We start from the raw sequence: 13,392 nt of genomic DNA, 5'->3' as shown, positions 1-13,392 counted from the left end.
CAGTGGTCAGTGTGGAGGGAGGCCACAGGTGGGTGCAGGGGACATGGTGTTAGGGGCGGGCAGGAGTTTGCCTGTGAGATCCTAAGAGCCCCACTGTGGGCAGGGCCTGAGACGCAGAGGTGGGGGCTTGCGAGGTGGGCTTGGCTTGGAAGTGGGAAAGGCCTCCAGGGGAAGCAAGGTGGATTACACGTGGGACCCCACGGGGATTACTTGTCCAGGGGGCTGTTGAAGCGGTAGATTTCGTCCTCACTGTAGTCCTTGAGGCTGTCCAGTGTGGGCCCGCCACCCACCACCAGCAGAACATAGCTACCAGGGACAGAAGTGCACACAGACTGGCCTCCGGGTCTCGAGTCCTGCACCCATCTCCTTCCACTCCCTCCACCTGCCCTAGCTGCAAGCTGGCCACGCCTTTACCTGCCCTGGAAACTGCCGGAGTCTCCTGTCACCAAATCTTGAATCAAGAAGAAGGGGTAGAAAACTATGGGGTTGGAGGGGATTGAGACCAGAAGAAGAAATTAGCTTGGCCCGAGAAGCTGAGGACCGAGACGGGGGAAAGTGAGATGCCGCAGGAAAAAGGGTGGGTAGTCTGCGGGGAGAGGAATGGGGAGGGAGAGCACAAAGTAGTGGGGGCAAGAGGGCAGTGAACTGTGCAGGGGAAGGGACTGGACACACACTGTCCCGGAAGAGAAAGCAGGGCATCTCCGGGTTCACGTTAACGCAGTCAAAGTAGTGTTTGTTCTTCAGGCGGCTGTATTCCAGCGTGTAGGTGATGTCGAAGGCCAGGCGCTTGCCTGGGGGGCAGCCAATGAACACTGGCACCATCAGGTTGCCCTCGGTGGGAGGAAAAAAGGCTCACAGGGGTGGCCAGGGTCTCCTCAGGCCCCTGGAGGGGTAAGGGGCAGGAAGGACAGTCCCCCTCCCACAAACACCACCACCAGCTGCCTGGCTCTCCCTCACCCCCAAGGGCAATATGGTCATTAATATCATTAACACGGCCTGGTGCAGTGGCTCATGCCTGTAATCCCAGAACTTCGGGAGGCCGAGGCGGGCTGATCACTTGAGTCCAGGAGTTCGAGACTAGCCTGGCCAGCACAGTAAAACCCTGTCTCTACTAAAAATACAAAAAATTAGCTGGGTGTGTGGTGGTGCATGCCTGTAATCCCAGCTACTCGGGAGGCAGAGGCTGGAGAATCGCTTGAACCAGGGAGGTAGAGGCCAAGACTGCACCACTGCACTCCAGCCTGGGTGACAGAGCAGGACTCTGTCTCAAAAAAAAAAAAAAAAAGACCGAGAGCCTGCCTGTTCTCTCCCCTAAACCTCCAACTCCTTTGCCCCCACCCTGTTTTGTCCAACCTTGTCTCTTCCAGAGTCTCCCTGCTTCCAGTCCCCTCATTGATGTCCCCCCACCCCATGCAGCCAGATGGGCCCTGGGGACACCCGAGTCCCTCCTCTGCTTAGAGCCCTCCCGAGGAGCCAGCTCACATACCATGGCCCATAAGGGCTCCGCTTACTCTGCCCCATCACTGCTCCGAGCTCATCCCACCACGTTCCCCCTTGCCCACCCTGATGCAATCACACTTCCTCCTTGTTTATTCAGTCTAGCACATGAAATCTCATGTACTCTAAGGAGGTGGGGGCTGTTACAACCCCTTTTGACTGCCCAAGGTCATTCTAAGCCAGGAGGGAGGAACACCAGGATCTGCATGCCAGGGAGTGGGTAGGGAAATGGGTGAGAACAAGAACTCTGGGGCACGCCCCTCCTCTACCACTTATTAGCTCCCTGGGTTACTCTGCACCTCTCTGAGCCTCAGTGTCTGCCCCGGGCAAAGGCGATATCACGTGTATAAGCAAGTGAAGCACCAAGCACCCAAAGAACTGAATGAGGAATGTGTGAGTGGGCAGAAGAAGAGAGAGATGTGAAAGCAGGGCCAGGCCAGCCCTTATGCCACCTTTGTGCCAATTGCAAAAAGTGGCCCTAGGTCGGGCACGGTGGCTCACACCTGTAATCCCAGCACTTTGGGAGGCCAAGGCCGGCAGATCACCTGAGGTTAGGAGTTCAAGACCAGCCTGGCCAACATGGTGAAACTCCGTCTCTATTTAAAATATAAAAAATTAGCTAGGCATGGTGGTATGCAACTGTAATCCCAGCTACTTGGGAGGCTGAGGCAGGAGAATCGCTTGAACCCGGGAGGTGGAGGTTGCAGTGAGCCGAGATTGCACCATTGCACTCCAGCCTGGGGGACAAGAGTGAGACATCGTTAAAAAAAAAACAAAAAACAAAAAAAAAACGGCCCTGTTGCTCACTCTATTCTCCCTCTGAAGAAAAGTTATCAGAGGGAACATACCAGTTTGTGTGCAACCTGCACAACTGGGAAGGTGGCCCTTTCTGAAAACGTGAATGAATGAAAGGAGTTAGGCCGGGCATGGTGGCTCACACCTGGAATCCCAGCACTTTGGGAGGCTGAGGCGGGTGGATCATTTGAGTTTAGGAGTTTGTGACCATCCTGGCCAACATGGAAAAACTCTGTCTCCACTAAAAATACAAAAAATTAGCCAGCCGTGGTGGCGGGCGCCTATAATCCCAGCTACTTGGGAGGCTGAGGCAGGAGAATCACTTGAGCCAAGGAGGCAAAGTGAGCCAAGACCGCGCCGCCGCACTCCAGCCTGGGCAACAAGAGTGAAACTCCGTCTTAAAGAAAAAAGAATGAAAGGAGTTAGTGGGTGGTAGTGGGTGGGTGGATGAATGTTGAGAAAGAATGAGAAGAAAGGAAATTATGAATGCATTAGTGGGATTCTCAGGGGGATTAGCCCTGTTGAGACCCGACCCCAACCTTCCCCTCCCAGGGCCCAGTATCCCAAGCTCCAATACTTGCATATGGGGCCCCAGGTGTGTTTCCTGGAAGCAGAGCCCGGATGAACCCACCACCTGTGGGTAGGAGCAGGTGAAGATGGTGATCCCCGCCGGCCCAGGCTTTCCCACCATCCTGCACCCTCCCCTCCAGGCTTGGACCTCACATTGACCGTCATGGAAGTCTCCATAAGGTGATGTCCACTAATGCCTTGGTCATAGCAAAGCTTTTTATCCTTGAGCGTAATCTGGGGTTGAAGGAGGGGAGAGGCAGAAATGAAGGGGTGAACAGGTCTCCCCAAAGTCCAACAAACAGTTCAAATAACCCATAGCTGGGGCGAGGTGGTGGCTGGTAGGAAAACGGAAGGCTGCCATTTTCTACTCAGGAATAGGCTAACGGGGTGTTGGCCGGGCTGGTCTCCAGCTCCTAACCGCGAGTGATCCGCCAGCCTCGGCCTCCCGAGGTGCCGGGATTGCAGACGGAGTCTGGTTCACTCAGTGCTCAATGGTGTCCAGGCTGGAGTGCAGTGGCGTGATCTCGGCTTGCTACAACCTCCGCCTCCCAGCCGCCTGCCTTGGCCTCCCAAAGTGCCAAGAGTGCAGCCTCTGCCCGGCCGCCACCCCGTCTGGGAAGTGAGGAGTGTCTCTGCCTGGCTGCCCATCGTCTGGGACGTGAGGAGCCCCTCTGCCTGGCTGCCCACTCTGGAAAGTGAGGAGCGTCTCTGCCCGGCCGCCCATCGTCTGAGATGTGGGGAGTGCCTCTGCCCCGCTGCCCCGTCTGGGATGTGAGGAGCGCCTCTGTCCGGTCGCGACCCCATCTGGGAGGTGAGGAGCGTCTCTGCCCAGCCGCCCTGTCTGAGAAGTGAGGAGACCCTCCGCCTGGCAACCGCCCCGTCTGAGAAATGAGGAGCCCCTCCGCCCGGCAGCCACCCTGTCTGGGAAGTGAGGAGCGTCTCCGCCCGGCAGCCACCCCGTCCTGGAGGGAGGTGGGGGTCAGCCCCCGCCAGGCCAGCCGCCCCGTCCGGGAGGGAGGTGGGGGGGTCAGCCCCCCGCCCGGCCAGCTGCCCCGTCCGGGAGGTGAGGGGCACCTCTGCCCGGCCGCCCCTGCTGGGAAGTGGGGAGCCCCTCTGCCCGGCCACCACCCCGTCTGGGAGGTATGCCCAACAGCTCATTGAGAACGGGCCATGATGACAATGGCGGTTTTGTGGAGTGGAAAGCGGGGAAGGGTGGGGAAAAGATTGAGAAATCGGATGGTTGCCGTGTCTGTGTAGAAAGAAGTAGACATGGGAGACTTTTCATTTTGTTTTGTACTGGGAAAAATTCTTCTGCCTTGGGATCCTGTTGATCTGTGACCTTACCCCCAACCCTGTGCTCTCTGAAACATGTGCTGTGTCCACTCAGGGTTAAATGGATTAAGGGCGGTGCAAGATGTGCTTTGTTAAACAGATGCTTGAAGGCAGCATGCTCGTTAAGAGTCATCACCACTCCCTAATCTCAAGTACCCAGGGACACAAACACTGCGGAAGGCCCCAGGGTCCTCTGCCTAGGAAAACCAGAGACCTTTGTTCACTTGTTTATCTGCTGACCTTCCCTCCACTATTGTCCTAGAAACACCCAAGAATGATCAATAAAAAAAAAAAAAAAAAAAAGGAATAGGCTAACGGGGCCAAGCACAGGGTGGTTCATGCCTCACACCTCACACCTCACGCCGAGGCATGAGGATCTCTTGAGTCCAGGAATTCGAGGCCAGCCTGGGCAACATAGGGAGACCCCCGTCTCTACAAAAAATAAAAAGTTAAGGCTGGGTGCAGTGGCTCACGCTTGTAATCCCAGCACTTTGGGAGGCCAAAGTGGGCAGATTATTTGAGGTCAGGAGTTCAAGACTAGCCTGGCCAACATGGTAAAACCCCATCGCTACTAATAATACAAAAAATTAGCTGGGTGTAGTGGCATGCACCTGTAATCTCAGCTACTAGGGAGGCTGAGGCAGGAGACTCGGTTGAATCTGGGAGGCAGAGGTTACAGTGAGCCGAGATCGTGCCATTGCACTCCAGCCTGGGCGACTGAGCAAGACTCCGTCTCAAAAGAAAAACAAAAAGTTCACTGGGCACTGTGGTGCGTGCCTGCAGTCCCAGCTACTCAGGAGGTTGAGGGAGGAGGATCGCTTGAGCCCAGGAGGCCAAGAATGCAGTGATCGCTCCACTGGCACTCCAGCCTGAGCGACAGAGCAAGACCCTGTCTCCAAAAAAAAAAAAAAAAAAAAAAAACAAAACCTCCCTTGATCCCAACTCCCCGGGGGGCCTCACCGAAAATAGCACCGAGTTGCGATTAATCAGGACCTCCTGCTTCACCGAGGCCTCGATGCAGCCGGGGTCGGCCAGCACCACGCCCACGTCCACCTGGCTATGCAGCTGGAAGGCGGTGCCTGCTCCGGGCAGTAAACGGGGTTAAGGCCTCCCTCACAGACAGGCCCCGCCCCTCCGATGGTGTCCCCGCCCCCCAGGCTCCCAGATTCTGGTAGCCCTCGCCCCGCCCTTCGGGCTCCACTCTGGTCCCGCGCAGACCGAGTTCTGACTGCGTCCGGAACGAGTGGCCCTGCGCCGACAGGAAGATGGCGAAGCTGTACTCAGTGCCCTTGTCCAGGAAAATGCGCTCCGGCAGCTCGTACGCGGACTCGAGGTTGTAGATCTTTTCGTAGCTGTCCATTTCTATGGACACGCCGCCCGCGCTTCGCCAATTGCTCGCCAAGAAGAAGTAGTAATCCTGGGGTACCGGATGCGCGGGGCAGAGTCAGCGCCGGGGGTGGGGCACGGTGAGGGGTGTCCGGGCGCCGCCCCTTTCCCGGCTCCCAATCCGCTCCGCCTACCTGGTCTTGTTTGTTGTTCGCCCACCAGCGCCAGGTGGGGTCGTGCACCGGGTCCGCGTACGGCTGCAGGGATCGCCCGGCACCGTGAAGGGATTGGGCAGCGGGGCGAGAGCCTCCAGGCAAGCGGCATCCCCAGACCACCTCCTAGCCTCAAAGCCAGCCCCCAACCCAGAGCAGAAGATACACACCCCAGCCCATCCCCAAACCCTGCTTTCAACCCGGCCACACCCCCAACGCCTTCCCCTGGAAGTCCTGCTCAAGCCAGGCCCCGCCCCCAGGTCCCCCGCCCACCCACCACCAGTCCTGTTCTCCAATCCCGCTGCGCTCCGCTCCACAGGCCTCGCCCTCTAAGCCAGCTCCCGGCTGCCCCAGTCCCGTCTCAGGCCTGCCCGCCCGCCGCCGGACGCCCACCTTGTCGTACACGGAGTGCAGCCACAGCAGGTAGTAGACCAGGCCCTGGTAGATGGCGAGCGAGTTCTCGTTGTGGAAGCCCGAGCGCTCCAGGACGCGCGGCGGCCGCGCCCGGTAGCGCTCCTGGCGCGTGTATCTCTGCGGACTGGGCAGGCTCCGCAGGCGCATCACCGAGAAGGGGCAGAAGTCGATGAAGGAGAGCATCAAGTAGCCCCTGGGCAGTGGCAAGGGGGAAAGGCTGCTGGCTCTAAGGCACCCCGCGCACTGGAAGCTTCCGCAGGCCTCTTTCCCACCCCACCCACTTCCCGTATCGAATCCAGCCCGAATCTTCCTCCTCAGCGTCAGCCCCTGCTGCCCAGAGGCCTCTGCACACATCCCCTCGGACGTCCCTCCCTTGATCCCTGAGACCAGAGTCCTCCCTACTCAACGGGCAGTCGCCATCTGCCTGTCCACTTGACCTCTTATCTTTATTCCATCTCCTGCTTCCTCCTTCCACCCCAGCGCCCCTTCCCTGTCCCGACTCCAGCTGCCTCCCTGGGTTGCTCTGATCCACCCTCCGCAGGACGATGACCGGAGGCATCATTACGGCACGCGGTAAAATCCGATCCTGCAGTCCTTTCCCTTAGTCCCATCCATGGCTCTCCCAAGACCCTCAAGATGAAGCCCAAGTTTCTCCCCATGACCACCAGGCTCACTTTGTCCCCCTCCCATCAGGGCCTCTGCACAGGTGGTTCCCCCTTTCTGGAACACCCTTCCCCACCTTATCACTTGGCTAATCCTTCCTCACCCTTCTTGCCACAGTGCATACACCTCCTCCTCCTTGAAGCCCTCCCTGATGCACCTTCCCCCCACTAGGTTGGGCTCCTCCTCTGAGCTTCCATAAGTGCTGAACTCCTGCCATCATAGCCCTGAGGTTTTCACTGGGGTTAGCTCGGTCTCCCCTCTCTCAAGAATGGTAGCTTCAGGAGGGCAGTGCCGGGAGCCCTCAGACCCCTGTCATGGTCCGGTGTCTTCTCACCCTTTCCGCTCCAAGTCATAGTGGCTGGTGTGCTGTTGATACATCAGAAGCTGCTCCACGGGCACGAGCCTCTTGACCAGCTGGCCCTTCTGGTTGTTCATAAGGTACACCAGCTGCAGGGGGAAGGCAGGGCCAGGTGAGCTGGGGTCAGCCCTCCTGGGGTGCCCCGATGTCCCCGCATAGCTCCACCGGGCACCTGGTACAGTTTGCTGTCTTCGTAGAAGAGGGTCAGCATGGTCTCATTGGATGCGTAGAGAGAGGACTGTTGCATCAGCTTTAAGCTGATGTGCACCTGCCAGCCCTTGGAAGGGAACAGCTGGTAGACCCGGTAGCTGCCCTCCAGGAGGTACCAGATCTGCGGGTATGACAGCCGGATGTGTGTGTGTCAGGACCATGGGGTCCTCTGATCCCACCTCACCCTCTGCCCAGTGTGGTGGCCCCATTGTTTGAGGGATGAAGTTTGGAAACTCACCTCCACTGGGACCAAGGGCGCTCCCCTTCCTTTTCTCTGTGGTGCCACGGCTCTACTTCCCTGAGCCCAATCACCTCTGGTTCCAGCCCTCACACACTATGATCACTTTTTTCAATGTTTTCGGTCTGTTTGGGTTTCTGGCACTTGCGACCTAAGCATCTCTAACACACACACTCCCTAACAGCCACGGTTCCTAGAGCCGAGACCTCTTTTCTTCTCACTCTTTGCAGCTTCCAGGGTCTCACCATTTCCCTGGCCTCAGTTTCCCATCTCTGCACTGATGCCCACCCCCATACACATCTGAAGGGAACCTTCACTCCCCTTCCTGAGCCACAACCTGGGGGATCCCCTCCAGCCTCCAAGATGTCCCCCTCCATGTGGTCTCCCCCATGAAGCCCTCCCTGACATGCACAAGCCCCCAGACGGGGCCAGGTCCCCCTGCTTCCATAGGTAATATTTTCCCCATTGCAGCCCTGATCACTCTGTGTTCTCCAGCACGGGGGCAGGCACACAGTAAATGCTCAATATTTATGAAGTGAACGACCACACTGTGGGATGAAAGAGGGCCGCCTCTGAACATCGGATCATAGCTCCGGTCTGCGTGACTTTGGAGCTGACACTTACCCTGAGTTCCAGGAGTTTCAGTTATAAATGGAGCTTCACTGCCCTTTCTCAGGGTCCCCGAGGGTGCCCCCTTCCCTTGGCTCCTTTACTGTGACGGGGGAAAGAGGGGCCCCTGGGGTTTGGGGGTGGGCAGAGAGGGAACGGGGAGAGGGGCGGGGCAGCCCACCTCCTCCGTCTCTGTGACAATAGCCACAGCCCCACGGAACGATCTGGCCATGTATTTGATGGACAGTTCCTTGGGGAAGTCTGCCAGGTAGATGAAGTTTTCCTTGTTAGAGCTGCAGGGACAGAGATGGAGAGCTAGGCGCATGCTGGACAGCCGCTTCCCCCAATCCCAGGCCTAATAACACGGGAGCCACTTACTGTTTCTCCACTTGTAAGAACATGCAAAGGAAGCTTGAAATCCTAGCTCCCGCCCCCCACCCCAAACCCTTTGAGAATCTTCAGCTCCCCATCTGTAAAACAGGAGCATTGGGCCAACCTGGCAGTTTGCCAGCCACCCAAGAAGGTGGCTCAGGGGCCCCTAGGTTCCTGAGGGTCGAGAGGGTGGCTGGGGTGGGGAGGATCCTAAACTGTCCCTAGAAAATGTTTGTCAATTAGCCGGGCATGGTGGTTCACACCTGTAATCCCAGCACTCTCGGAGGCTGAGGCAGGAGGATCACCTGAGGTCAAGAGTTTGAGACCAGCCTGCCCAACATGGTGAAACCGCGTCTCTACTAAAAATACAAAAATTAGCCAGGCATGGTGGCATGCAGCTGTAATCCCAGCTACTCGGGAGTCTGATGCAGGAGAATCGCTTGAATCTGGGAGGCGGGGGCTGCAGTGAGCCGAGATTTTGCCACTGTCCTGTAGCCTGGGTGACAGAGTGAGACTCTGTCCCAAAACAAAAACAAAAACAAAAAAAAACCCTAGAAACTGCTCATCTATTGCTCACACAGGCTGGGTCTTTATATAAGGTTTCATTTTAAGAAAAGGGCTCCCACAGCTTTAAAACATTGGCTTCCCCCATCCCAGCACTGACTACCCTAACGGTGTGTTCCTCATCACAGTCCTGGTAACTTCTGGATTTGTGCATCCTTTGAAGGCTTGGTGAGACTTGCCTAGCCTGGGCTTGAAAGGGTCCCCACCGTAAAGTTGCTGGGGAGACAGAGTATGCCTGGCCCACCCAGGGGTGGTAGAGGCCCACCTCTGCAGGAGGAAGTTGCCCCAGATGAAGATCAGATTGTTGTACGGGTTACAGAAGATGCCCTTGGGGGCCATTGCAGTGCTGGTGTAGGACTCTGTCCCTAGGATCATCAGGAACTCCAATCCTCGAGCTGACCGGAGCAGAGGAAGAGAGGACACAGCAGTGAAGTGGAGTCACCTGGGCCCCTCCTGGCCCACAGCCACCCTGAGGCCACGTCTGCCTTCCCTTCCTACCTTCAGGGATGAATTCTGGGATGTGGTAGAGAAGTTCCAGGTCATCACTAGCTACAGGTGGGGAGAACACAGCAAAATCTCCTGAGGCCCTGCACTTTCAAAACCTGGAGCTGGAGCAAGTTGTTTGCTTCTCAGCCTCCTGTAAAACCCTCCAAAGAGCTTCCCACTCGGGTTTGCTAGTCCTTAGAGTTTCTTTTCTTTTATTTCCCCCCTGAGACAGGATCTCCCTGTCGCCCAGGCTGGAGTGCAGTGGTGTGATCTCAGCTCACTGCAACTTCTGCCTCCTCGGTTCAAGTGATCCTCCCACCTCAGCCTATGGAGTAGCTGGGATTATAGGCGCACACCACCACCATGCCCAGCTAATTTTTTTTTTTTTCGAGATGGAGTCTCGCTCTGTTGCCCAGGCTGCAGTGCAATGGCATGATCTCAGCTCACTGCAACCTCTGCCTCCCAGGTTCAAGTGATTCTTCCACCTCAGCCTCCTGAGTTGCTGGGTTTATAGGTACCCACCATCATGCCCGACTAATTTTTGTATTTTTAGTAGAGACAGGGTTTCACCATGTTAGTCAGGCTGGTCTTGAACTCCTGACCTTAGGTGATCCCCCCGCCTCGGCCTCCCAGAGTGCTGGGATTACAGGCGTGAGCCGCCGTGCCCGGCCAATTTTTGTATTTTTAGTAGAGATGAGGTTTCGCTATATTGCCTAGGCTGGTCTTGAACGCCTGAGCTCAAGCATTCCACCCACCTTGGTGTCCCAAAGTGCCAGGATTATAAGCACGAGCCACCACGCCTGGCTCTGCTCTTTTTTTTTTTTTGAGACCGGGTCTTGCTCTGTCACCCAGGTAGTAGCATGATCATAGCTCACTGTAGCCTCAACCTCCTGGGCTTATGCTATCCTCCCACCTCAGGTATATTCCAAGTAGCTGGGACTACAGGTGCGACTCCATACTCAGCTACTTTTTTTTTTTTTTTTTTTTTAATTTGTAGAGACAGCCTCTTGCCATGTTGCCCCAGGCTGGTCTTGAACTCCTGGCCTCAAGGGATCCTCTGGCCTTGGCCTCCCAAAGTGCTGGGATTACAGGTGTGAGCCCCTTGCCTAGCCCTTTAGAATTTCTTCATGTGAATTATAAAAAGGCACTGCCTGAGAGGAAACAGTCCTGTTAAGGCACAGGACCTGTCTCCTCTGACCCCTCGGTTGGGGGTTTTGTGCACTGCACAGCCTGCACAAATCTACATAGGGGCCCTATTCTCACTGCAGGTAAAATAAAATCTCTTTATTGTGAGCCACAGGGCCCTTTCAGATCACCAAGCCTATATCCTGTTCTCCACTGCTACTCCTCAACCAGGAGTGACACAGGTAATGTTGCCCTCCCTCTGTCTGCTGGGCACAGATCCCTCAGGATGGGCATGCAGTCCACAGTCTGGGATCCTGCCCCTTTGTGCCCAGCCCCTTGCATCACCCTCATTACCTGTGTTGTAGCTGACCACCTGGAAACGTTTACTTGCATTACCATATCCACTCTCCACCAGCAGCAGTAGAGTATACTCACCCGCGATGTATTCAGACCAAATTATGGAGCAGGTGGTAACTGAGAGGGAAAGGGGCAGTCCAGAGCCGCCCCAGGGCTCAATAGCCTTGGTCCTGTGCCAGCTGTACCCCTCCCCATAACTCACCCCTCCCTAAGACACTGCCCATTCTTTCCCATGACCCCTGCCACCCTCCCCTGCTCTTCTGCATCCTCAGTTCCCCCAGCCTCCCACCGCAGACCCATCGGGGTAATGAGTACCTCCTATCTGCTCGCACACAGACCACTGCCTGGGCAGCATCTCAAAGGACACCTGGCCATCTGCAGAGCAAGGTCGGGTTCATGTTCAGGCCCTCTCCCTCCTGTCTGGCAGCCCATCAAGCCAACTCCGATTGCCCTCCTTATGCCCACCAGCCCCTCCGTCCTTGGGATCTCATTCTCTGGCCTTTCGTCACTCACACCTGGCCTATCAGAGCATGTCTGTCTTTGGTCACAGTCATGAGACTGTGGGTCTCATGCCTCAGGTCTGGCCATGTGACCCACGGTGGGCCGATCAGAGTTTACTCTGGGATTTGTGTTAGAATTAATGGGAAAGATGCTGTCTTCATTCTCTTGGCGTGACTCAGACTAGTAGGTGACTTGAGTCTGAAGCTTTAAGGGGCCACCTTTAACCTCCATGGAGGAATAGCTACCTAAAAATGGACCCAAATTATAGGACCAATAATAATAAACTGTTTGTAACACTCACCACATCACTAGCACTAAGACCTTTACAAAAACCAACTTATTTAATCTTTATATCAACCCGGTGACCTAGATGCTAGTACTACCATTAGCCACATTTTGTAGGTGAAGAAAACGAGATCAGAGAGGTCAAGTTACATATCGAGAGGCACACAGCGAAGGTGTGATGGAGCAGTCTCTCTCCAGAATCTGTGCTATAATTAATTACTATGCTGCACTACCTTACCAAGAGATGGAGTCCTGATGACCTACCCTGTGGGCCCCTGGATCCAGCCATACCTGAAGTTGAACCGTAGTCTTTTCATTTATGTAAGTCCACAAATTCTTTGTGCTTAAGTTATTATTATTATTACTATCATTATTATTAAGACAGTCTCACTCTGTTGCCCAGGCTGGAGTGCAGTGGCATGATCTTGGCTTACTGCAACCTCCGCTTCCCAGGTTCGAGCAATTCTCATGCCTCAGCCTCCCAAGTAGCTGGGACTACAGGTGCATGCCACCATGCTCAGCTGATTTTTGTACTTTTAGTAGAGATGGGGTTTCGCCATGTTGGCCAGGCTGGTCTCGAACTCCTGACCTCAGGTGATCCACCCACCTCAGCCTCCCAAAGTGCTGGGATTACAGGCATGAGCCACTGTGCCCAGCTGTACTTCAATTATTTTTGAATTGGGCTTCTGCTATTTTTGTTTTTTTGGGGGATTTGTTTGTTCGTTTTTGAGACAGAGTCTCACTCTGTTGCCCAGGCTGGAGTGCAGTGGTGCAATCTCGGCTCACTGCAACCTTCATCTCCTGGGTTCAAGTGACTCTCCTGCCTCAGCCTCCTGAATAGCTGGGATTACAGGCGCCTGCCACCACGCCCAACTAATTTTTTTATTTTTAGTAGAGATGGGGTTTCACCATGTTGGCCAGGATGTTCTTGAACTCCTGACCTCAAGTGATCCGCCTGCCTCAGCCTCCCAAAGTGCTGGGATTACAGGCATGAGCCACTGTGCCCAGCTCTTCTGCCCTTTAAAACCAAGTACATCATGAAAGATACATAACATACCCCCAAGCCCTACCCCTACAAACGCATCCCTCCACCACCACCATCACCCTCAGCCTAGGGGCCCTCCTCAGGGCACATGGTAATGAGTGAGGGCCCAAGGTTAGAATTCTCGGAGGTGAGAGAGGGTATGGAGGGGTCCCTGGGGCTGACAGAGGCCCACACCCTTACCTCTGATGGTCCCGAAGTGTACATAACCCTCATGCTTGCCCGTGGTGAGGGCCATTATGTACTCAGAGCCATTGCTATGGAAATACACAGGGCACAGCTTCTTGATGCACTCGCTGGCCAGGACACGAATCCAACTGCCTAGTGAAGTCAGTATGGGGCCTCAGACCCAGGTGGTTGGATCTGGGGCCTCTGCCCCCTGCCCACATTTCCCTGGCTTTAGTGAGCCTGTTATCTGTCCTCTCATGCTGAAGCA

At 55.6% G+C, this 13,392-nt stretch overlaps 1 protein-coding gene across 2 annotated transcripts in view, besides 2 other annotated features; it reads right to left on the bottom strand.

Moving 5' to 3' along the window:
* CATSPERG (catsper channel auxiliary subunit gamma) overlaps positions 1-13,392 on the bottom strand; it is a 35,114-nt gene that overhangs the window by 2,957 nt on the left and 18,765 nt on the right. The window contains exons 9-25 of one of the 2 annotated variants that reach the window (NM_021185.5): positions 13,140-13,277; positions 11,444-11,503; positions 11,126-11,245; positions 9,659-9,709; positions 9,426-9,555; positions 8,406-8,517; positions 7,340-7,498; positions 7,144-7,256; positions 6,126-6,339; positions 5,715-5,777; positions 5,413-5,611; positions 5,155-5,273; positions 3,016-3,096; positions 2,870-2,926; positions 675-831; positions 415-478; positions 211-306 (exon numbers count right to left, since the gene is read on the bottom strand). In NM_021185.5, coding sequence (NP_067008.3) covers positions 211-306; positions 415-478; positions 675-831; positions 2,870-2,926; positions 3,016-3,096; positions 5,155-5,273; positions 5,413-5,611; positions 5,715-5,777; positions 6,126-6,339; positions 7,144-7,256; positions 7,340-7,498; positions 8,406-8,517; positions 9,426-9,555; positions 9,659-9,709; positions 11,126-11,245; positions 11,444-11,503; positions 13,140-13,277 — 1,933 coding nt within the window. The remainder of the gene's footprint in view (positions 1-210; positions 307-414; positions 479-674; positions 832-2,869; positions 2,927-3,015; positions 3,097-5,154; positions 5,274-5,412; positions 5,612-5,714; positions 5,778-6,125; positions 6,340-7,143; positions 7,257-7,339; positions 7,499-8,405; positions 8,518-9,425; positions 9,556-9,658; positions 9,710-11,125; positions 11,246-11,443; positions 11,504-13,139; positions 13,278-13,392) is intronic. The other variant, NM_001330496.2, reaches the window with a different exon arrangement.
* Positions 5,061-6,002: an enhancer, noted in NCBI's record as "H3K27ac-H3K4me1 hESC enhancer chr19:38852625-38853566 (GRCh37/hg19 assembly coordinates)". NCBI's record gives its function as "activates a minimal SCP1, AML or CMV promoter by ChIP-STARR-seq in primed H9 embryonic stem cells {active_cell/tissue: H9 hESC(primed)}" and the evidence as "EXISTENCE:reporter gene assay evidence [ECO:0000049][PMID:30033119]".
* Positions 5,249-5,328: a silencer, noted in NCBI's record as "silent region_10570". NCBI's record gives its function as "represses an Ori minimal core promoter by ATAC-STARR-seq in GM12878 lymphoblastoid cells {active_cell/tissue: GM12878}" and the evidence as "EXISTENCE:reporter gene assay evidence [ECO:0000049][PMID:35858748]".

The sequence above is a fragment of the Homo sapiens genome, chromosome 19, assembly GCF_000001405.40.
Source record: "Homo sapiens chromosome 19, GRCh38.p14 Primary Assembly".
Lineage (NCBI taxonomy): Eukaryota > Metazoa > Chordata > Mammalia > Primates > Hominidae > Homo > Homo sapiens.
The sequence above is the reverse complement of the archived record's forward strand: the minus strand, read 5'-3'. Positions and strand labels throughout refer to the sequence as shown.